At 42.0% G+C, this 24,723-nt stretch overlaps 1 long non-coding RNA gene across 1 annotated transcript, besides 1 other annotated feature; it reads left to right on the forward strand.

Moving 5' to 3' along the window:
• On the forward strand, positions 1–24,200 carry LOC107986121 (uncharacterized). The gene is made up of 3 exons (XR_001740868.2): positions 1–468; positions 12,354–12,427; positions 23,846–24,200. It is a non-coding gene; the product is annotated as an uncharacterized LOC107986121 (long non-coding RNA).
• Positions 13,014–13,583: an enhancer, noted in NCBI's record as "OCT4-NANOG hESC enhancer chr3:120219013-120219582 (GRCh37/hg19 assembly coordinates)". NCBI's record gives its function as "activates a minimal SCP1, AML or CMV promoter by ChIP-STARR-seq in naive H9 embryonic stem cells {active_cell/tissue: H9 hESC(naive)}" and the evidence as "EXISTENCE:reporter gene assay evidence [ECO:0000049][PMID:30033119]".
• Positions 24,201–24,723: the final 523 nt, after the last annotated feature.

A 24,723-nucleotide genomic window follows, 5' to 3' on the forward strand; every position in this document is an offset into this window, starting at 1 on the left:
GCTTTTGGAAGGATAAACTTTTATTTCAAGGGAAAATGCTGGACTCAGTTCTGCTCTCATCTTAGATCTGAAGGGAGTTGGCCAGGTCTCCTCTTCTTGAGGGTACATGACTAAGAGAGATGGGAGGGGGCCCACAGCACAGAGACCTGTTGCCAAGAACATCTCAGGGTGGAGAGACCTTTGGAACATTTTTTTCCACTCTACATCAGACAGAATAAAATTGATTAGCATTTAATTGGTTTCAGCTGTTCTTAACATGTTGCATAGAAAACGTCAATGTACTTTGCTAAATTCAATATTCCTTATGGTTAACAGATTGAAAACCAAAAACGTCCTTGAAGAAAACACCAGAAATCAGTGCTTTAGATCACACTGAGTTGTTTGCTATTGGTCACCCACTTGGAATGTTCTGGGAACGCTAACTACTTTGGATTGGATATATTCAGAAAAGAAACAAATCTTTGTCTGGTAAGACTGTTGGGTAGATAACTGCTTAGGAATCAAGATATCTATGTTGCAGTTCCAGCTTTCCCTGCACAGCCATGTGATTTTGGATAAACCTCTTCACCTCTCTGGATTATATTCAGGTTTCTAATCTAGAAAATGAGGAGATGAGCTCAGTGATCTCCAAAGTTGCTTTCATCTCTTACATGTATAATTGATTTGCATCATTCTGATGCTTCACTACAATTCTGGAAAAACGATGGTACAATCATCTCTCCTTAAGCAGTGTGCAGAATAGCAACAGCAAATTGTGTCTTGGAACCCAATGAGGAAGAGGTTTCAAAGAAAATACACTGGTTAAGCCTTAAATAATAAGGCATTTTAGTCTCAAAGGCCAGATGATAAATGAGGGGCTGGGAAAATCTGACTACTTCACTGTGTGTTCTTGGCCAAAGATACTTCAGTCCCTACCCTTCATATCTCCATCTACAAAACGCATATAAGGACATCTCCTGTTAACGCAAAAAACTGTTAAGAGGTTTGGTCAAAAGCTAAGTGCAAATCATGGGTATCAGACACTGACAGCTACAGATGGGCTACAGTTTCAGTAACTGCTCTTTTTCAATCCTACTTCCTGCTTTTGCCTGTATTCTCTTAAATTGTTCATTCTCCAAGTTTTTCTGCCATTATTTCTCCTGCCTTGCTACTTCTCTCGTGCTGAATCATCTTCTTTGTGTCTTTCCTTTACCAAAACTCATGAATGACGAAGGTGGCAGCTAGAACAGTGAAAAGCTCCAGAGAATTTCTGTTCTGTGGCCCAGCTGCTTAGGAGGCCCTGAGAGGAAGCCATCTGAAGCCCTGCTTGCTATCCACTTGCCTCTCTGGGGTCCCCAACAGCTGTTGGTCCCTTACTACCAGACCTCAAATTAGCATTCAACGGGCTAATTTGCAGGCCTAACTCCAAGGCTTGGGGAATTCCTGATCCATTTCCACAGCCCTGGGAGCTTCCTCAATGATCCCCAGGGCTATGAGGCTGAATGTGGACTTACTTATGCTTGAGCAGAGAGAAACATCAGGCACTTCCATGGAATGCCTTCCTCATCTCCCAAAGCTAAAGACTTTACTGAGCTTCTGTGAATGTTAATGTCAAGATAGCTCAGATTGTTGGTCCCATAGCTAGTGCTGCTGAAACCATGGACACAGGGTTTCATAAAAATCACAAGGCCAAAGCTGGCTCAAGGGAATGCTAGAGCCCTGCTATGGATGGTAACATTGAAAGAAGAGCTGTTGGCTTTGACTGCGATGGTTCTCTGGGAGTTAATGCTCTTCCTAGGTGAAGTAGATTTATGTTAGCAATGCAAAAAGTTATGATATCAAAGGCAAGACCAGATATTGGAAGTTGCGGGCTGTTTGTAAACTTCAGTAGGGGTATAATATCAATATGGAACTCTCTTTCCCAGGGTCAAATTATGCACTGGCAATCTGAAATGAGGGAGAGAGTTCAGTCTTGGTCATTGACTCAGTATCTGGGACTGCCAGCCTTACTAGATTGGAGAATAGGTGAACACTGTTCTCTTTTTCTGAAAATGGCATACGTGCACCTAAGAGGGGAGTAAAGGCTTATAGGCAGCTAGGTCTTCCCAGTCCCTTCTAGTGCCTCTTTACCATACTCAGGGTAAGACTTGCCTGCAAATCAGTGATTCTAGAAAGCAACACAGCATTTCTCAAGTTTCCTTCTCAGTAAGTAGTGGGATATTCGATCTCTCTGAATGACCCTAGAGAGCCTGTTGAGTGAATCCTCTTGTGCAGCAAAGTCCACAGTGTAACACTGCTGTGTGCTGAATACTCACTTGGAATCTGGTTCTCTTGCGATTTTAATTAAAACCTACTGAATCTTTCCCTGGCAACTTGGGAATGTTAGGACAACTAAATTCCTCTTCAAAGACTTAACTTCCTGCCACCTGTGAATAAATCCTACCCGCTTCTTGCAAATTGCATATTTACCCTATTTGGAAAGGTTTAAGTCTCAGCCAATTAGGTCAGCTTAGATTGTGCTGTCCAACCCCAGCCAATAGGGGAAGGACACAGAAACAGGAACTGTATTAGGGTTAAAAACCCCTTCCCTCCTTTGTTCAGTGGGCTCTTGTGATTGTAACAGGTGCAAACAGCACCCTTCTGCAGAAGCAAAAGTGCCTGGCTGAGAAATTTTCTGTCTAAGTGCAGGTTTCTTTTGGCTACACTGAGCACTTGTTTCCAACAAATCTGGGGGCTCATCTGAGATCCCACTCTCCTTTGGGAGGGGCTAGCGATTATCTTGCATGGGGAGATGCGTCCCACTGCCTTGTTGTGGTGGCCCAAGCAGCGGAGGATCAAGTCCTGCCCAAAGTGATGACTAAATCCAGACTCTGAGCAATGCGGGCATAGAAGGATCCTTAAGAACTCTACGGCGACCAGGTAACTCTGTGCACAGACCAAGGCAAGAAACATCGCTATTGGGGCGACAAAGTATTCCTTGGTGGTCAGGATCTCTGGAGGTTGAAAGTGTGTGAGTGAGACTCGCCATTGGGTGAGAAGCGAGTGTGGAGTCTGGACTTGGTTCCGTGGTCACCTCATACGGCTTAGGGCGGTTTTCCAGTTGGGGGATTATATTGACCCACCAATGCTAAGAGGGATCTAAAATTCCCACAAGGGAAGTGGCCAATAAGGACAGGTGAGTGCTCACGAGAGTGCAAGAAACCTCCAGTGGGAAAAGGGGAGGTTGAGCCTCTGGGACACGGAGGTGCAAGAAATCTCTAATATGAGAGATTGAGCCTCACCAACCTCCAGGATGGGAAATACCCCAAGTAAGACAGGGACTACAAAAGGCCAAGCAGGCAATAAAATTCTGCCTGACAGTCCCCTAAGCCTTATGCTAAAATGCTGGAAGGATAATGAAAGGACCAAACACAGGAAAAGGCAGCAAATGATAAAGTATTGCTGTTTTATTTGGACTAAGGAACCCATCCTCAGACCTTCGGTCTTTTGGCCAAAGTTTGGGTCAGACAAGGACTGGATATGCCAACTCCTGATCCAGTATGTCAATGATAAAAGTCCAGTTTCTCCAGAGGAGATAGATTATGCTATATGTTGGAGACAAGGACCTGTCCTTCTTCATCCCCTAAAGGATAAAAAGCAAAACCAAACTCAGTACCCCACAAGGACGACCTAGCTAAGTCAAATTCTATATCTAAAGAGGCATAGGATCCTCTAGTCCATCTTCCCCTGCCTACTCCTCTGCCCCAAGTTGAATACTCAGTCCCTCCCCCATATAACCCTGCCCCATGGGCCTTGCCACCCCACATCCCTGCTGGACAGCCACTCGAACATGCCTCTTCCTCAGGAAAGCTCCAGTGAGAAATAGAACAATGCCAAAGGGGTATTCAAAACTTTCCTTTCCCCTCTTCCTCAAAGAAGTCTGCCCAATCCCTTTTTCCCTTAAGGGAAGTACTGCTAGGAGGAGTGGATATTGGCTATTGGCTTCATAAATGACCCCCTTAAGCAGTTAGAGCTTATAAATCTAAAAAAGGAAGTCAAGCCACTGTTAGATGACCCTTTTGGAGTTGCAGATCAAATTAACCAATTTCTGGGGCCACAACTGTAAACTTGGGCTGAATTAATGTCTGTTCCAGGTATTCTCTTCTCAGAAGAGGAAAGAACCATAAACCACAGGGCTGCTATGAAAGTCTGCGAGTGCGAACACTCTCCTGGTCAAAATGTCCTTGCAGCGGAGCATAAATGACCAGACACGGATCCTCAGTGGGATAACAACAACGTGGCCCATTCAGAAAACATGAGAGATCTCAGAGATTTGATAATTAAAGGGATTCAGGAATCAGTTCCTCTAACCCAAAATATTTCCCAAGCATTTAACGTACAACAAGGGAAAGATGAAGGGCCCATGGAATTCTTAAACCAACTTAAGGAACAGATAAGAAAATATGGAGGTTTAGACATAGAGGACCCACTGGGATAAGGGATGTTAAAACTCCACTTTGTCACCAACAGTTGGCCAGACATTACAAGACATTATAAAAGATAGAAAATTGGGAAAAGGTATATGTACAGAGGGAAGAGGAAAGGTGGAAGCAAAAGGCAAAAATTTTGCTGTCCACCCTACAACAGGGAACTCTTCAACAGGGAGCCCAGGGAAATAGAACTTGTAAATCTTCCAAGTACCCGGCTGCCAGACCCTATACAGGAAGCAAAGGGATGAAACCCGACAGTCAGGGAACAGGAAGGGGGAGAGGGGAAAACAGATGTTTCAGGCATGGAAAGCCAGGACACTTTAAGAGGGAATGTCCCGAATGGGAGAGAGAGAAGGAAGTCCTTCCACTCATGACATTTGAAGAAGAATAAGTGGTCAGGGGCTCTACATCTTCCATCTCGAGTCCCACCAAGAGCCCTTGATAAATTTTACAGTGGGACCCAAATCAGAGATGGCTCACTGACTCAAGAATTTTAAAATATGAAGCTATCTTACTAGAGAGAGATGACCTGACACTAACCACTGACAATTCACTCAACCCTGCTGCTTTCCTAAGAGGAAATCCAAACCCGGAAGAACCTGAGCATAAATGCTTAGATCTAATCAGTTATCAAACTAGAGTCAGACTGGATCTAAGCAAAACCCCCTTCCAAACAGGGCGTCACCTCTTTATAGACGGTTCCTCCCTGGTCATTGGAGGAAAAGGGCACAACGGGTACTCTGTAGTTGATGGGGAAACCCTTACAAAGGTAGAGTCAGGAAGACTGCCAAATAACTGGTCTGCCTAAATATGTAAACTGCATTAAACCAAGCATTAAAATCCCTGCAGAATCAGGAAGGAACTATTTACACTGACTCCAAGTATGCCTTCGGAGTAGTCCATACCTTTGGTAAGATATGGACTAAATGAGGCCTCATCAATAGTAAGGGCCAAGATTTGGTCCACAAGGAATTAATTATGCAAGTACTAGAAAATCTTCAGGTGCTGGAAGAAATTGCGTGTCCCAGGACACAAAAATTGCATGTCCCAGGACACAAAATAACCCATCGTTTGAAAGCCGGGGAAATAACCTCGCTGATGAAATAGCTAAGCAAGCTGCCTCTTCCCAAGAGGCACCCATTTGCCATCTAACCCCTTGTCCCTCCTATCCAGCTGTGATCCCCATCTTCTCCCTTGCAGACCAAGAGAAACTAAAGAAAATAGGAGCTAAGGAGAGCCCAGAGGGAAAGTGGGTACTACCAGATGGAAGGGAAATATTGTCACAGCTTCATCAAGGAACTCACTGGGGTCCACAAGCTATGTGCGATGCAGCCCTCAGAGTCTACGGGTGTGTAGGGATATATACCCTCACTAGGCAAGTGGCGGATGATTGCATAGTGTGCAGAAAAACTAATAAGCAAACCCTAAAGAAGCAATCTCTTGGGGGAAGAAACCCAGGGTTGAGGCTGTTCCAAAGCGTCTAAGTTGATTACACTGAAATGCCCCCAATAGGCCACCTCACGTATTTACTAGTAATAGTAGACTATCTCACCCACTGGGTAGAAGCCATCCCCTTCCCAAGTGCAACGGCCAGTAACGTAGTCAAAGCACTGTTGGAACATATCATACCCAGGTTTGGACTAATAGAGAACGTTGATTCGGACAATGGGACCCACTTCACTGCACACATCATTAAGGGGCTAACCCAAGCACTAGGAATAAAATGGGAATATCATACTCCGTGGCATCCACCCTCACCAGGGAAGGTATAAAGAATGAATCAAACTCTAAAAAATCACCTAACCAAATTAATCTTTGAAACCCGGTTACCCTGGACTAAATGCTTTCCCATTGCCTTACTAAGAATCCGAACTGCCCCTTGAAAATATCTTGGCCTGTTCCCTTATGAAATGCTCTACAGGCTGCCTTATCTAAATTCCATTACTGACCTTCCTACATTTAAAGCAAACAAAAAAATCATTTTCTCAAAAAAAATATGTATTTGGTCTGTCTTCCACCCTTTCCTCCATCAGGACTCAAGGCCTCCTAGCGCAAACTCCACCCCTCGAATTCCCAGTTCACCAACACCAGCGCAGAGATTATGTCTTTATCAAAAGTTGGAAAGAGGGAAAGCTCAAACCAACCTGGGAAGGACCTTATCTAGTACTCCTAACCACTGAGACAGCAATCCAATGGCCGAGAAAGGGTGGACCCACCACACTCGAGTAAAAAGGGCCCCACCCTCTGCAAAGTCATGGACCATCACTCCAGGACCAACGCTCTCCAAACTAACATTCAAAAGGGTTTAATCTGTCTTTTCCTTCTTCCTTTAGCTACAGGAGGACATCTTATCATGAATGTAACCCGCTCACCCTTTCCCCAAACAATTACATTTGATGCTTGTCTTGTCATGCCTTGTGGGGATCTCCAAAGTCAAAGACACCTAGCTTCCTCAGAAAAATACCTTTGCCCCTCCAGAGAAACTGACACCCCCACCTCTTGCAATTGGTGGGGACACACCTGAAGTTGGGGATTATGTTATCAGTGGGGCGATGTTCTCTGGACCACTAAATATCAGGGCTGGACCTCCTCAGTGGGTTGCACCGAACTAAAACCCTACCTCCACTTCATCAAAGGAACTTCTCCCCCAATTGTCGGTCTTATCTTTGCAAACCAGTACTTATCTCTATTAATATCCCTACCTCCACCAACCCTACACCCACTTTAAAGTGCTTTTATGGCCTGGGAGTGGACATCACTGGAAAGGACCCTATGGGCTTCTTTCAAATGCGCTTTGTTTCTTCTCCTCCATCTCCCACCATTGCTCCTTCCCCAAACCCACAAAATTAAACCATTTCTTGCTTCATGCCCAAGGACAAAACCAAAGTAGCTGTAGTAGAATTCAAAGACTTAAAGCAAACCCTAGCCATAGAAACCGGGTATCAAGATGTAAACGCCTGGCTGGAATGGATTAAATATTCCAGTCCCACCCTAAATAACAGCAATTGTTACGCTTGTGCAATGGGCAGGCCAGAGACGGAAACTGTTCCCTTCCCACTCAGATGGGCCAACCAACCAGGTATGGACTGTATAGTAGCTCTCTTCCAGCACTCCAAAGCCTGGGGAAACAAGTCATGTGCCGCTCTTTTACTAATTTTCCCAAAGGTCAGGAGCCCTATGGGACAGCCCCCAAGGCCCATTTGACTTCCAGCTCACAATGCCAATTTTACCTCATGTCTCTCACGGCAAGGGGAAAATTTGACATTCCTTGGAAACCTGACAGGATGTAGTGGGCCTTAATGTTTTCAAGAGCTCACCAATCAGTCAGCCCTAGTCCATCGCCAAGTGGATGTGTGGTGGTATTGTGGGAGACCAATACTGGGTACACTGCCAAGCAGTTGGAACAGCGCTTGCACCCTAATCCAATTGGCCATCCCTTTCACCTTGGCATTTCATCAACCAGACAAAAAACAGGTAACCTGAAAAAAAATGAGAAACCCCTCATGGGTCCTTTGACCCCCACGTTTACATAGACAGTATTGGGGTCCTGCAGGGGGTACAAAATAAATTCAAAGCTCAAAACCAAATAGCTGCTGGGTTTGAGTCTATCTTATTCTGGTGGTCCACTATAAACAAAAGTGTAGACTGGATAAATTATATATACTACAGTCAGCAGCAATTTGTCAATTATACCAGAGATGCCATAAAAGGAATAACTGAATAGTTAGGCCCTACCAGCCAGATGGCCTGGGAAAATAGAATAGCCCTTGACATGATGTTGGCCAAAAAAGGTGGAGTCTGTGTCATGATTGGGGTCCAGCACTGTACCTTTATTCCTAATAATACAGCCCCTGATGGGACAATCACAAAAGCCTTACAAGGCCTTATCACCCTACCAAATGAATTAGCCGAAAACTCTGGAATAGACGACCCCTTATGGGCCTGATGGAAAGGTGGTTTGGAAAATGGAGGGGACTCATGACCTCAATCTTTACCTCTCTTCCAATTGTTACAGGTGTACTCATTCTGTGGGCTGCTGTATCATACCTTGTATTCGTGGGTTAACCCAAAGGCTCATAGAAGCAGCTCTCACAAAAACCTTCCCCACCTCTCCCACTACGTACTCAGATAAGCTCTTGCTCCTAGATAATCAAGAACAACAACAAGGCCGAATCCTATTGAAGAAATTTGAAGAGGAAGAACTGTAAAATAGAAGAGGGGAAATTGTTAGGACAACTACATTCCTCTTCAAAGACTTAACTTCCTGCCACCTGTGAATAAACTCTACTCCCTTCCTGCAAATTACGTGTTAACCCTATTTGGAAAGGTTTAAGTCTTAGTCAGGTCAGCTTAGATTGTGTGGTCCAACCTCAGCCAATAGGGGAAGGACACAGAAACAGGAACTGTGTTAGGGTTAAAAACCCCCTTCCCTCCTTTGTTTGGTGTGCTCTTGTGATTGTAACAGGCACAAGCAGCACCCTTCTGCAGAAGTAAAGGTGCCTTGCTGAGAAATTTTCTAAGTGTGGGTTTCTTTTGGCTATGCCGAGCACTTGTTTACAACAGGAATGTTATACTATTTCAGGCATCATTCCTGTTGAGTTTACCCATGGTTAGAAATGTAAGGGAGTCCATGGAATAGAAATGAGAGAAGAATTAAAGTTCTTTGTAAACTCTAAATGCTAATGTTGTTTATTATCATTATTGGTATCTAAAATGCCATAGACCCTCCCTCAGTGCTTCTCTTTCCTATGCATTGAGTCAGGGAATAGGGCTTTGTCACTTGGTGACTTACATGCTTATATTTCCCCAGGAGAAGCCCAACCCCATCCTTCTAGATTCATTAGGTCCTAGTTCTGCTCTTCCTCCCCTTAGTCATATCAACAGCCATACACACTGCCCCAGGCAACTCCTCTAATTTTCCACCTCTGAGTCATCTTGAGTTACAAATGGATGATGGAAGGTCACATAATTTTTGTTTTATTATAAAGAGGAAAAATGAGGGAGCATTTATTCTTGCAGTCACTCTGTGCTCCTCAAATGTTGCTCTGGCTCAGGTATGGGAGAGGAGGGTGTGGTTGGAATCATGCCTCAAGTCCCCCCAAGTTCTCAGGGCAGCCTCTGTTTCTCCTCGGCTCTCCTCTTCCAGCCCTTCTAAAGGCTTCTCTTTCTTTCTCTGACATCCTGTTAGTATGAACTCATGTAAGCTATTTAATGAGCCAGGCAGCGTTATCCAATTTTTATAAATTGAATGATAGCGGTTTATGAGAAAACAGCCATGATTATGAAAAGTGCCAAGAATATTAAGTTCTGCACTGCTGCTTTTGAATTGGCCTTTATTAAAAACTGATTATAATTCTTCTGGGGTCAGTGCTGCTAAAAGTATTAAAAATTGACCTGGAAATTCTGTACTTTCATGATGCCTGTTTTCCCCAGTTATTTGTTTTCAGCCAGATAATTTGATATATCTGAAGATATGTTGCATTTGCCATAGTTCATAAACTTTATTTTCAGTTGCTGCACCCTGGAAACCCAAGATACTCAGAACATTGTTATTTATATTGAGAGAAAAAGATTTTCTTTTAATCAATCAGATTTACTTTAGCAGTAATTAGGTCAGCTGGAACAAATCTGCATTTTCTTAACATTTTTAGTGGTGGTGAAATGAGAACTACTGTGTCCCATAATTATGCATTCAGATATTATACTATCAAAAAACACCAAATTAAGAAAAAACAATGAAATGAAATGGACAAATCCGAGAAAACTCTCTTCTTCCTCTGCCACTCACCTTCCCCCTTTTCTGGCTATTTGAGCATAAGCAGTTTCACTATTGTCCAGGAGAGTTTAAATTTTACTTCTTGTTAGGGTGACTATTATGAACTTCTCCCTAACTGAAGATTTTGTGTTCTGAAGTCATTGTGTTCTTAGGCTGTGGTCCAAAGTGACTTCATTTTCTGGTTGCTGGGATTTAACAGAGACTTAATGTAAGGGCTGCAGCTTTGTGAGCCAAAGATGTCTTTTTTTTCTGACTCATATTAAATAGGACTGAAGCGTGTGTTAAGATGCCCATCAAATTTCTCCAAAATTTCAATTAAGTATTGCAGAACTCTACTTGGCCAACGATGGGGTAATTAAAATGTACATTATGGATCTGATAGATTTAATGAATTGGCATTGTGAAAGAACAGGAACAGCTACTAAAATTCCAAAAATAACAGTTCTTGGAGAACAGTTCTCGGAGAACAGTTCTCAATCTCAAATTAAATACATCAAAATTAATTTTAGCTGTTTCAGGAAGGTGACATGAGAGCCATTTCAGTTTTTTTAAAATGGGTTTGAATGGAATGACAAAAGCATTCCATTCATCTTTGAAATTCTAGAGTTTCAAAAAGGAAATGAAGAGTTTACTAATTGAGAGCCTGTCCATTAAGAATGGATGCAGCCGTCTTAGCAACTAACATCAAGCCATCCAGTAACTGACATCACTGTGAACCAGAAAGTCAGCACTCCTGGGAGAGCCTGTGCTAGAAGAAAATAGTCACTTAAAAGTTATCCCTCAAGGTAGTTACTCTTGCCTTCAGGATGAAAAAAAAAAATGTTTCAGAAGTCACTTTAAAAGAGGATCCAAGATATACAAAAAAGATTTTTGTAGAAAGGAGTTCAGTGCAGCATTACTTATTAGAGTGAGAAATCAGAAACAGCCAAATAGAAAGTAGAGGACTGGTTAAACAAATTATGATACATTCACATAATTGAATACTATGCAATCATAAAATAATGTTATGCTGCAGTCATATTAAAGTTCATAAGAAAATGTTATAATATATTAAGTTAATTATTATATACAAAGAGAAAAAAGCAGGCTATAAAATAGTAGACTCCAAAATTTAATAGTGGCTATCTCTAAGGCAGGGCCAAAATACCTGATTTTTTTTTCTCCTTTACCCTTCCTATATTTTTCTTAGTAATTAAAGAAGGAGCAATAAATGTCATAAAAAGACACTTCATTTGCAAGTCTGCTGAGAGATAGCACATATTTTAATTCCTTATTTTTCGACTAGAACTTAAATTACTTGGCTTTTCAGAAATACATCTACTTCCTACATTTCTCATCAATTAAAAAAATATCTGTCACTTCCTATCATATTTGGAAGGCTTCTGCTTTCTACTTAGGCAATACTTTGGGGAAGTTAAATTTGATTGTGCCAAAGTTGTCAAAATGGCCTTAATTTTGTTTCAGTGAAGTATCTTTAAAAGTTGTTAGGTGGTGTCAATAAGCTGTTTAATTGGTCAAGAGGTCACAAGGCCTGCAATAAAACACCTCTTTATTACGCAAAAATCTTCATGGACAAACTCCATCCTCAAAGCAACATGAAAACCCCAGAAACTGAAAAGAAGACACAAGTGCTGAGCCAGGGACCTCCTGCATGCAGAACACAGATCAAATTACTTGACTGAAGATGCAGAAGAGAGGATTCCATCAGTAAGACTGTGTGCTGGGGAAAGAGCAGGCCTTAGGTCAATACATTCCTGTGTAGGAGGAGCCCTGTCCACTGCAATTTCACAGCACAAATGAGAATGACTCTTGGTTAGATGGGAAATTCCATTAAACTCTGTTATGCAAGAATGTCAGGAAACAGTGTTATTATACTAGCTGCCCCAGATTTCAGACACATATGTTGAGGGAAACCACATTTTAAAGACTACAAAATCTCAGTGATCTCATCTCATCCCTCTTTCTACTACACACACACACACACATATACACACAAACATGCATGCACGTATGTACACACATGACAGGGGAAAGAGAAACATTTTAAGATCATAGATTATTATGGCAATAGCTGAATTCTCAGTATTCTCTCCTGTCACATCATTCTTTTCTTTTCTTTTTTTTTAAAGATCAGATGTATTTGGAGAAAACAAAAAACCCACAACCCAAAGGATGGGATTTCACATCTCAAGACATCTCCCAGGTAATAAGTCTACAGATTACAAATCATTTTCATAGAAAATATTTTTGTACAAATTATACAGGTATTCAGGAGCTGGGTCATTAATCAATCCCCATTTCTATTTTAACAGGGGGGCAAGGTAGGGGAGAGGGAAAAACAGTTTTGGATACAACTATTTGGAAGGAGAGTAGATATGAAGAGGGCAAACCCTAGTTTTTCATTACCTACAATCAATGTTTTTTTTCTTTAAAAAAAAATCTTTCAATCTTCAGTATCTCTTTAAAAGCCCACTTCTTACCTACTAGCCAATCCACCCCAATTATTTAAATTCACTTGGTACACACCTTTGTCCACCAGGTAAATTATATTCATTATGCCCACTGCTGCAGCACACATAAACCAACACCCCTGCATGGCTGAACAGGGCCTAATCTAGGACTGATGGGAGAAGTGCTTGCAAACCAAGATCAAGGTGTCATTTCTCTGCTAATACTGTCTACCAAGCTGATCCCTACAAAAACGCACATAAAAGCAGGCAAGTTTAGCTACTGTGTTGCAAGAGAAACCAGGACCTTGTTAAATAGTTCTCTCCATTACCATTTATTCTCTCAAGGGAAGCTTAAAAAAAAAAAAGAAAAAGAAAAAGAAAAAACAACGCATTGGTCTGGCCACCTCATAAATCCCACAAGCATTGGTGTGGCATTTCAGTGGAGAAGGAAACTTGGGGTGGGGAAAAACCCATTAAGGTTGTAAAAAAGGCTCCCAATTTAACTGTCCCTGTCCCTATTTATCCACCTTTATTCACCACCCAAGACCATTCATTACCCTAGAGCCCTCTGATCTATAAAAGGGGTCAAAGCATCAGGAGCAGGGAAGGAGTGAGAACCAAAAGACATCAAGAAACTGATTTGCTTGAGAAAAGCAGCGATTCTTCCTTTCATAGCTCTCCATGGCTGAGAGAGAAAATGCCCAAGAGATCATCTATGTGACTTAGAGACTGCTTTTTGGGACGTCAAGAGTAGCATGAAGAACTTAAGATAATGACAAGAGCCTAAATATTTAAAGTTTCAAGGTTTCAACAGAATGTGGATGTATTTGAACTTTCAAAAATGTCCTGTCACATCTTTCTTCCCATTACCTGGAGCTCCTCCTTTTCCCAGGCATTCATATTTCTTACCTCCTCCCCACCCGCTGCACAAATTTGATTGCATGAAGGATAAGGGGGCAGCATTTCTTTCTGCTTCTGGTCCTGGTTGCCCAGGTTGCATGGTATAGGGAAGGAGGCAGCAGAAACTCTAGGCCACAGAGGTGTGGCTGGCTGCTCTAGGGTGGTGAGATACAAGAGACTGCAGGTGCTTGGTGCCCATATCATGGAGTTAAGGAGCCCCAGGTCAGTGAGGGAAGAGTAAAGTGAGGAAGAGTAGGGATGGGAGAGAAAAGGTTAATAACGTGAGCAAGATCAGCTGGATATAACAGTCTAAGTTGGAAGTTTTTTTTCCTTCACGACTTTAAAGACTGCTTTCTCCATTGCTTTGTAGCATTTAGAGTTGCTGCTGAGAAGTCTCATAGTGTTATTCTTTTTGATAATCTGAGTTTTCTTCCTGTCACATGTAAGATTTCCTCGTACTCTTTATGTTCTAAGTCTCATTACAATGCTCCTAGGTGGGAATTTATTTTTATTTATTCTTCTGGTATCAAGAGAGAACTTTCAATCTGAGATTTATGTCTTTTGAACTGGATAATTCTTAGGACAAAAGCTCTCATGTTAAGCATCTTATGTTCCTTCTCTGTCATTCTTTTCATTCTCTTTTTCTGGATCCATATGCATGTAACCACTCATTCATATATTTGAACTCTTTGTCTTTCTGTGTTGAATTTGGTGTGAACTCCTCCTTATGATCTTCCCATTCACCAGAACTTCCCTTACTGAGTCTAGAGTTCATTCCATCTATTAAGTATTTTTTAAAATATCAAGGGCTATATTTCTATTTGGTTATTTTTGCATATTTATCTCTTCTCGCTTTATTTTTGCCTATTTTAGTTCCATGACGGCTAGTTCTTTTTATAATCGTTATTCTCTTATGGGTTTCTTTAAGCTTCCTTGTTTTAACCAATATGTCACACTGTTCATTAAAGTTAATTTCCTTCTGGAGTGAGTTCATGTTCTGAATGAATTTGTGTTCTGAATTCATGTTCTGATTTCATATTTTATTGAGTATATTTTTTTCAGGATTAGATTTCGTGAATTTTGCAATTTTGATTTGCAGGTTTATTTTAAAATGTTTTTTGTTGTTTTCAGTCTTTTTGTCTCTCCTCTGTCCCTGTGACTGTTTCTCTAAATCCAGTGGTTTTGTGGGTGTCTTTTCACCCGGCTTTCTGGAATTCCATGTCAGAACCAGGTGCTATAAATGCAGCTCAAGGCTCTAGGTCATGACAATGTCACAGATATCTCAGGTCCAGTCACCAAGCCAACATGTGGCTTGGGTCTTTTTCTGGTTTCAAGACTGCATCTGTATCCTCACACCTCCCTGGGCCCACAGATTCCATAAGTCATAGCTCGGTCTAAGAGCAATGCTTCAAATTCAGGTCCCTTTTCTCAGGTGGAGTAGTAGACTTCCCGTCACCCAGCCACCGCCACCTGATTCTGGACCTGGAGCCAGCAGGCCCGTGGCTTCAGCCCAACTCACTCTTTTGTATTCTATTGCTTATTCTCATCATGGAAATAATCATCTTTTTTTTTTTGTCTTGAACTCTGCAATGTCATCATTTTTTTGTTTTTTTTTTCTAGTTTATCCATCTTTGCCATGTGCTTGGGGAAGAATGGCAATGCGAAAGTGTGAGCTTCCCGTCCCAGCTTATTAGAAGCCCACAGCTGTTTTTAAAAAATCTACCTTTCCGGCTGGGTGCAGTGGCTCACACCTGTAATCCCAGCACTTTTGGAGGCTGAGGAGGGCGGATCACAAGGTCAGGAGATCGAGACCATCCTGGCTAACATGGTGAAACCCCGTCTCTACTAAAAAATACAAAAAATTAGCCAGGCGTGGTGGCGGGCACCTGTAGTCCCAGCTACTTGGGAGGCTGAGGCCGGAGAATGGCGTGAATCCGGGAGGCAGAGCTTGCAGTGAGCCGAGATCGCGCCACTGCACTCCAGCCTGGGCAACAAAGGGAGACTCCATCTCAAAAAAAAAAAAAAAAAAAAAATCTACCTTGCCATGCTTTCCCTTTTCTGTGACTGTTAATTAGTACATAGGCCATGGGCTGTCATGCTTAAAAACTGAATGGGAATTTTGTCTTTAGCAGTGTTAGGACGACTGGCTGATTATAAAAATAATAGGAGCCGGGCACAATGGTTCACACCTATAGTCCCAGCACTTTGGGAGGCTGAGGCAGGAGGATTGCTTGAGGCCAGGAATTTGAGACAAGCCTGATCAACATAGTAAGACCCCATCTCTATATTAAACAATAAAAATAATAATAATAGGTCATGGTTTTCCCTGTCAAGGGTCAAACTGTTCTTACTGAACAAGAGCTCTCTGAATTGAGTTGCAAATTCTGTGGTTCCTCAAGATTTACATACAGAAAAAGCCAAGTATATTCCCTCAAGATTTTTAAAAAGATATGTAATCACGGGATTTTAGAGCTCAAAGGAATATCAAAGGTCTTATATTATAGGCCCCTCATTTCTGGATCTGCAAGAAGAAACAGAAATTAAAGGTCTTGCTCCAAGCTTCATGGTATACTGGTAGCAAAGCTAGAGCTGGTTGGGTTCTTCTAGATTGGTATTTCTCCAACAAAATCATCCACAGCATATATCAAAAGTGATATAACTAGGAGGCTTGATAAATGATTTCTACTTAATGTTTAATTATTTACAAAGCAAAGGTATTTTACACCCAGGTTCCTTAAGGTCTCAGTTTCAATCTGCTGTGTTTTTTAAATAAAAATATGTGCATACCAGCATTTTTTTGCTCCAGATAGAAAGCTGAATTTAGCCAGTATGCTCCTTAGTCCATCTATCACATGGCAGTAACCTATTAAGTGTCTAATTTAGATAAATGTAAGAGATTTAAAAAAATAAGAGTAGATAAAATAATAGAAGTATTATGTATTTCAGGGTCCATAGACACAAGCATCAAAAGCTGACTCCGGCTGATTAGTCAAAAAAGTAATTTATTACAAGGATTTTGTGTAGCTCACAAACTTGTTGGGAAGGCCAGAGAACCAGACCTGAGGACAAACTTTCGGAAATGGCTCAAAACTTTAGAACTGGCCTGTTGAGAAAAATCAGTACTGCTCCAAGCACTGACCACTAGATGATACATGAACTAGATGCTTGCAGCAATTTGACTTTACTGAAGCTACGACTGCCCCAGCATCACCGCCATTTCTGATGTGAAGACACCCTCCGCAGTATGTAGGTGCTGTTTCAGTCTTACCTCTGCTGACCCTGAAAGCCAGTCACCCCTCTCACAATCCTCAGCAGCACAATGAATTCTGCCTAAAGCTTCTTTCTTCAAGCAAGGCTCTGCTGTGCTTGGATAATGCTAATTGGGGGACTCTCATTCACAAGCTAATGAGCTAGCTGCAATTGAGGGGCTGGGGAAACAAATTTTCTATCTGGGAAAAACAGGGCTTTAAATATGGAGATTTACCCAAATGCAGCAACAATGTTCATGTACCAAGCAACTAGGAAGGTTACCAATGAATTGCCAAGCACATAAAGGAGTTAAGGTGTCCATGAACGGAGGTAAGATCATCTACTGAGCTAGACAGTCTCCATTTACCCTTCTAAACCCTTGCTCCACCCTTCTCCACTCTACACAATGCCCTTGAAGGCTGAAGGCTGACTACATGGTCTGCATCAACCAGCTTTCTTGCCCTCTGCCTCCAGCTGGGTTTGGCCAGTGGGAGGGGCTGGCAGGAGCTGGGAAGGTGGCAGAAGGATGAGGTTTGGGCATTTAGTTTCCTCCTGGCTGGGTTGCAGGTTGTTTCTCTCCTGACAGCCCCTATTTGGTGGCCCCCTCCTACAGCTGCCCCTCCTCTCTCCTGCCCTTCAGGCCCGGTGGTTCCCACTAGGAAACCCTGGGACACTTACCCCATCCCTTGGGTTTTCCCTTACCCTTCACTACACCTGGTAAATAGTTTATTTTAAATTCTCTCAATAATCCCATTTGCATGTACTATCAGTTCCCTGCCAGAATGCTGGAGTATATTCACCTTCACTGTGACAAATGCTCAGATCTTATTTTCTCCTGTCCTCAATTAAAGTACTGGAATATATTTCCTTTTGTTTTCTTCTCAAACGCAGATCACTGATTAATTGAATTAGAAGAAGATAATATTTTAAAATATGATAGTAGGAGAAATCATTTTAAAGTTTTGGAATTTATTTTATATATCTCTAGCCAAGTTATTTTCAGTCCTGGGCATGCGATATAAAAAGCTCTAAAAAAGCATGAATTTGGGACTCTATTTCAGTCCAGGAGAGACTATGGCATATACATCTTTCATTTTTTTTTTTTTTTTCTTGAGACAGAGTCTCACTCTGACACTCAGGCTGGAGTGCAGTGGCATGACCTTGGCTCACTGCAACCTCCGCCTCCTGGGTTCAAGCAATTCTCCTGCCTCAGCCTCCTGAGTAGCTGGGATTACAGGTGCATGCCACAACACCCGGTTAATTTTTGTATTTTTAGTACAGACGGGATTTTGCCATGTGGGCCAGCTGGTCTCGAATTCCTGTCCTCAAGTGATCTGCCCACCTTGGCCTCCCAAAGTGCTGGTATTACAGATGTGAGCTACCATGCCCAGCTCAATATATCTTAAAAGAAAAAGAAAAAGTTCTCCTGCTGGTTCTCAAGCAAACCACAGATATATGGTAAGGAAAAAGTGTTACAGTAGGTAGCTAGTCAGACATGAGCAGAGCAGGAGAGGGTTTCTCCTTGTTCCCCCCCCCCCCACTACACCCCCCCTTCCACCACACACACACACCAGGAATGTCAGGTGACAGGTGAGGGTCAGGCAGTTGTCAACTGTCTCTCTAAAATAATAATTGGTCACAGACAGTGCCAGGGAAAGGCAGTCCCCCTATAGATAGAAAAAACCTGAAACTGGTGACCAGCAGCTTCCCAATAAGATTTCAGGAGCTGGGTGAGTGAGCTCGAGCATGAGCATTAAGAAGCAAAATGGTGGAGTTTAACTGGTATATGACCTTCCTCTAGAAATGCAAGATTGGTAAGGAAAGAATGCCCCAAGTGAGCATGCATACAACTTCAGTAAACACATGGCGCATGTCCCCATCCCAGGTGCTAGCAGGCCATTGCGCATGTGGACAGCCCATCCCAAGGGAAGAATCGGGGAAAAGGGATAAAAGACCCCAGAAGTATGTCAACTTATAAAACCCCAAAGTCAAATTACCCACTTGTCTTGCAAGTCACCCACTTGGCTCTCTTCAAGTGTATTTCTCTTCCTTTTGTTTCTGCTCTAAAACTTTTAATATAGTTTTACTCCTGCTCTAAAACTTGCCTCAGTCTCTCCTTCTGCCTTATGTCCCTCAGTTGAATTCTTTCTTCTGAGGAGGCAAGAATTGAGGTTGCTGCAGACTCATACAGATTCGCCCCAGTAACTTGGATACTGGCCACTGGTAACATATTTTGGTGCCGTGGGACTTGGATAACTTCTGCCACTAACATACTTTGATGCTGCATGACTCAGATATGTTCCCTAGTGGTAAGAGACCCCTCTACCACACCTTCTTTGGCTGGAGGCATTCAATCCTTGTACATGGTCTTCTCCTTTTCTCTCTCCTGCTTGCTAACCAACCCCCAGAATAAGTCCTTCAGCCATAAGTGACTCTGCTCCTCTTGGCTGATTTCTCAGTTCACTCTGATGGATGGCTTCCAGGGGTGGGAAGGACTGTGGCATCTGCACCGAGTAGATCTGAGGCATGAATGGCCCTCCTGGACAGGAGGTTCACCAGAATGGTAGGGCTGAAGCCTAAAACTGTGCAATGTCTGGGGTTTCCTCTGCTTTTTCAACTAAAATTGGCTCTTTCCCAAGAACCTGCACTGCCTATTCTCTTGTTTTCTCTGTGTGTATGTTCTGAAAAGGACTTGTGCACCCTCTGGACCATCTGCCACAGGGGCAAGTCTGTCTCTTTGCTCTTACTTTGCATGCCACGTGACCTCTTAAACACACACTCCCGCAGCTCTTATGCATTTGAGAGGCAGCAAAGACATGGGCTTCCTTGTGGATATCTCCTGAGATTTATACTTGTTCTTGTTCTTACCTTACCAGCTTGGATGACTTTCAACCCTTTCAACCCTGTCTGCTGACACATTGCCGGGACAAACACTAATTGGAACTCCGGCTCTGCCAGCTCCTTATGACTTACTATATGCTTTTCCTTCCTGTTACACCCCAGGGCTGGGTTTCCTGGTGGCTTTTGCAAATAGGTGGGATGCTTAAAGGGCAGGGTAAGGCCCCATGCAGGCAGACAAACTGCTTCAAAAGCCACCCCTCTTCCTTTGCCCCATTCGTGGGCAAAGGAAGAATTTGCCCTCCTCTGCCAGTTATTAGCCCAAGCCCCAAGTCCTCCGGAGGTTACTACTTTACGTCAACAGGGCAAATAAACGTTGTCCTCTTGAATCCAAGGGCTGCTATTTTTGCAAGCATATGAAGGCTTTCCATGAGTATTCCTCTCACTTCCTCCCACTTCTTCCCGTAGACTTCATTTCTCTAATTACTTCCACATTCTTCTCAACATGAATTAGGACCTTCGGGGTCATATTCAAAAGGAGTGGGGAGGGAAGTCTAGCCCCCTTGTGGCAGTTAGCTGAAAAACAGGCTTTTGTCTGCTTAACATGGGAAATGGGAATCTGAGAAAAAAGGTCATCATTTTTATTGCTAGAATGCTCCAAGCAAGAGTCACTATAAAGTCATGGAGATAAGGGTATAGGCCAGCCCAAGGCTACAGGTGCAAGAGACAAAAGTACCCACAGGACAGAGATGAAGGGTGCTCCCAGGCTAACAGATTATCATTAGAACAGAGATGAAAGGTTAGGGATATGCAGTAAGATCAGTTATTCTGGAACCTCAAGGATGAACAGGCGATCCACTGTTCACTCCAGTATCTCCTCTGTTCTCAAGTGGGTAATTGTGATGAGATGGGACCAAGAGTACACAGTAAGGCTGGTTAATTCCGGAACCCAAAGGACAATGGGGGATGCTCCATTCAGGATAATAGGAATGTAGAGGGAATGCCTTCTTTTTTCTTTTTCCTTTTTTTCTCTCCTGTTCTCTCTTTGCAGATGGGTAATCACATTCCCATACCACAGGACATGCCCCTGGGATGCATCCCCCAAAACTAGGAAAAGTTTGATTCTACCAAATGTTAAAACAAAACAAAAAAAAACCAGTTTTCCTTTGTAATACTGTTTGGCTTAAAAATAAACTGGGAGGAAATTACAAAAGTCAGCCTTGGAACCCAGTTCCCCTGTGCAGGAGGTCCTCAGATTAGCCTCCTCAGTCTTTTATAAGTGAGAGTAGAATAAGGAGGACAGGGCTAAGAAAAAGGAGACATGTAGGACAAGAAGCAGGCTCAACTATTGGCTGCTTTACGAGTTCTCCAACCCCCTCTAGGTTGCCCTAAGAACACTCATACAGGACAAAGCCAAGGTCACCTATGGAGGCGGCAAGTAAAATTATAAATTTCCCTTTTGCTTTCAAGAGCTGCCTACTGTGTGCTAATCTCCTTCTCTAAGCAACTCCCCTCCAAATCCTGTTGGGTAATGGGGCCAATGGCACCCCCTCCAAGAGATTCACATCCCTTTGGGCAAAAATATACTTTTCAAATGGGTGCCTGCTTAATACTTACCTGAAATCTGAATTTGTTTTTCTCTCTAATAGCTATATTTCTCCTGGGAAACCTACCTAAATCTTTAACCAGCAACTTCAACCTGGATGGTCTTACCTCAGGAGTTTAGAAATAGCTCACCATTATTTGGGCAAGTCCTAGCAAAAATATAACTGAGCAATTTCTTGAGGGGGAGATAACTTCTATAGTATGTAAATAACCTCATTTGCTTCCCCGTCACAGAACTTGCACAGCAACTTTCAGTACAAATCTTAACTTTCTAACAGAAGGAATATGACTTTTGTCTAATTCAAAGGTTGTAAAGAGGTACTTTTCATAAGGAAGATGATAAAGAAAAGAGATTTCATATGAGAAAGGATCTTGCATGGTAAATTATTGTCCTAAAGTAAAATGACTGGTTCTTTAAAAAGAGGGATATTTAGGACAAGTCAGAAAGTCCAAGCCTGTCATAGATGATCTGTGTAAATTGTGAAAAATTTGTGAAAGGGAATTTATGAAAGAAATGTTCTGCAATTTTAAAGGTTTTTAGACCTACTAAATAAATGCTTTATAGACTGCCACTTTGACTTTTAACTGTACAACTTGACTATTTTAAAGCTAGGCATGGCCTGGGGACTTACAGAGTTAGCCATTCCCCCAGGTATGCTGGAAAGAGACCTTATATGCACTTCTGTCTAGTGAATCGCTTACTTATCAGGTTTTTCGCAAAAGTAAAAGTTGTGAACAGTTAGCCATGTAACATGTTCTTGAGACTACTGGAAAAGCAGTCTTACATGTAAGGTACGCAAGGAAAGTAGAATGTGCTTTTGTTAAAAGATTGTAAGAAGGTATGGGAATGTAAGTTTTGCCTAGTTTGGAGGGTTAAAGGATTGTTTTATGTTAGATAGGATAAAGCTGAAGGTTTGAGCAAGTTGTGGAAGGTTTGTGAAAAATTAATCCTATAAAAGAAATTCTATGTGTGAAAATTACCCAAAATTAAAGGACTTTTATTCAGTTTATTCATAAACACTGGAATTAAAGCACAACATAGTTTTATTAAAGTATTAATCTGCTTTTGATTAAAGTGTTATCAGTACATGTTCCAAAATTATGTGAAACTCCTATAATTCTAATGTAACATAGTATACATTATTAGGAATAATTATAATTATGTTTAATTGTTTTGTGCCTCAGGGGTAATAAATTTCTTTGTCAATTGTGTCTTTGATTGTGGCTACCCTAAGACTTTTTGTCATTAACAGATAATTGTTGTCTTGTTTTAACCCTCTTTAAAAGGTGGTTTTATAATCAGCTATAGAACTCTAACAGGTGCTCCTAAATACAGGCTTCTGATAACTTTGAAGATTGAGACATTAGAATAGAGAAAAAACTTTCAGGACTCTTATTGGAGAGCTAAAATGTTCATGAATATCAAGCAGAACAAAAGTTAACTGCATGGACTAAACTAATAGAAGATTGAAATAATCCTTTTATGACTTTTTGCTTAAAATGTTGCTAATCCTTTGTTTTCCAAAACCAAGAAAACTTTTCTTTTGAGCTATTTACAGCTTTTAATAATTGAGTACTCCTGTAAACAAAATTCGAGCATATTTGTTTCTCTCTACCTGCTTTCTTCAAAATTTGGAAACTACTTGTGAGTATTCTTAACTTATGGCAGTATAGTTATTTGCATAAGTACAATAAGAATCTGTTGTCTTTTGCAACAGAACACAACTGGAGAAGCTGGTTATTTTACGAAGGCTTTGACTGGAATGATATGCATTCCTTTAAGGAATCAAATTTGACTTATATAGCCAATAAAAGCCCCTTGTGAAAACTGGCTTCATACCTTGTCTACACAGTCCCTGTACAGGGTTCCCAACCTGTGGTCTGTAAAGAATGCCACTTTCTAACAGGCTCAGGAGCCCCAGGTTATCTTGGGACCTCAAGGGAGAGGAATTTACCAACTCATTCAGGTATTTGATGGTATAAAACTGTGGCTGGGTTTAAGCCTTAAAAAAAGTCTTGTCTGAGATTCCTTATGGAATGAAGTTCCATCAAAGCCAATTTAAACAGGAGCCTATTAGGCAAATAATTATTCTTGCTGTGCTTTATGCAAATAATCAGGCCAAGTATAAGACAACTAAAGTTTATTTTGCAAACAAATCAGTTTTATCATGATTTTTTATAAAAATGAGGACTGGAAAGAGAAAAAGTGTGTTTCAAAAATTATGATACACCTGTTATTTTTCTATTAATAGATGCTAGTCTCATCAGTTATTTTTAAGTTTTTGCCTGCATTTTAGAGTAATCCTGCTTATTCCTGTGAACCAGCCAGTGATCTCTGGCTGCAGCTCAGAAGAAACAAAAGGGATGGGTAATGTAAAAATCTGGATCAGTATTCTAATTCTGAGCACATATTGGAATCTGCTATCAACCCCATGTACCCAAGTCTTAGTAGGCATGACTATAGCCACCAGTTACCTGGGTGTGTAGGCAGCCTCAGGGTTCTTTTTTGGGGCTGTCCTCACCCCATTATTTTGTTTTAACATTCCTCTAATTCTAATAACCTGATTTGTCTCCTCTAGCCTTTAGGCCATTGAGCTCCAGATGAACCTCAGTGAGGGATAGTGTCCTCTCAATATTCAAGAGTTACCCTTCTATGGGGGACCCCCTAGACTGCCCATCAGTGAGACACAACAGAGGCAAAATCCTGCCCCTCTCTCCCTTGGACCTGGCTGGATACCAGTTTCCCCAATCCATGGAAACAGCCTCCTGCTCTGACAACTAGCAAGAGGCCAAGACTCACAGAACCACCTACAACCCCCCAACCTCTGTCAGCAGGAAGCCATTACAGAAGGCTCACCTTCATCCATTTTCTCCAAATAACTGGGGTCTTGGACTCTTGAGGGGGGAAATGCTATAGTAGGTAGCTAGTAAGACATGAGCAGAGCGGGAGAGGGCTCCCCGCCAAACCCAACTAGGAAGCTCAGGCGACCATCAGATGAGGGTCAGGTGGTTGTTAACTGTATCTCTAAAATAATAATTGGTTGCAGCCAGTGCCAGGGAAAGGCAGTCTCCCTATAGATAGAAAAAACCTGAAACTGGTGATCAGTAGCTTCCCAATAAGATCTCAGGAGTTGGGTGAGTGAGCTCGAGCATGCCATGATGGAGTTTAACTGGTATATAACCTTCCTCTAGGAATGCTAGATTGGTAAGGGAAGAATGCCCCAAGTGAGCATGCGTACAATTCCAATAAACACATTGTGCATGTTCCTCTCCCAAGTGCTAGCAGGCCATTGCACATGTGGACAGCTCACCCCAAGAGAAGAATTAAGGGAGAAGGAACACAAAACCCCCAAAGTATGCCAGCATGTAAAAACCCCAATTCAAAGGTCAAACCATGCACCATGAAAAACAAGTGTGCACTTGTGTTGCAGATTGCCCACTTGGCCCTCTTCCAAGT

Source organism: Homo sapiens, chromosome 3 (genome assembly GCF_000001405.40).
Source record: "Homo sapiens chromosome 3, GRCh38.p14 Primary Assembly".
Lineage (NCBI taxonomy): Eukaryota > Metazoa > Chordata > Mammalia > Primates > Hominidae > Homo > Homo sapiens.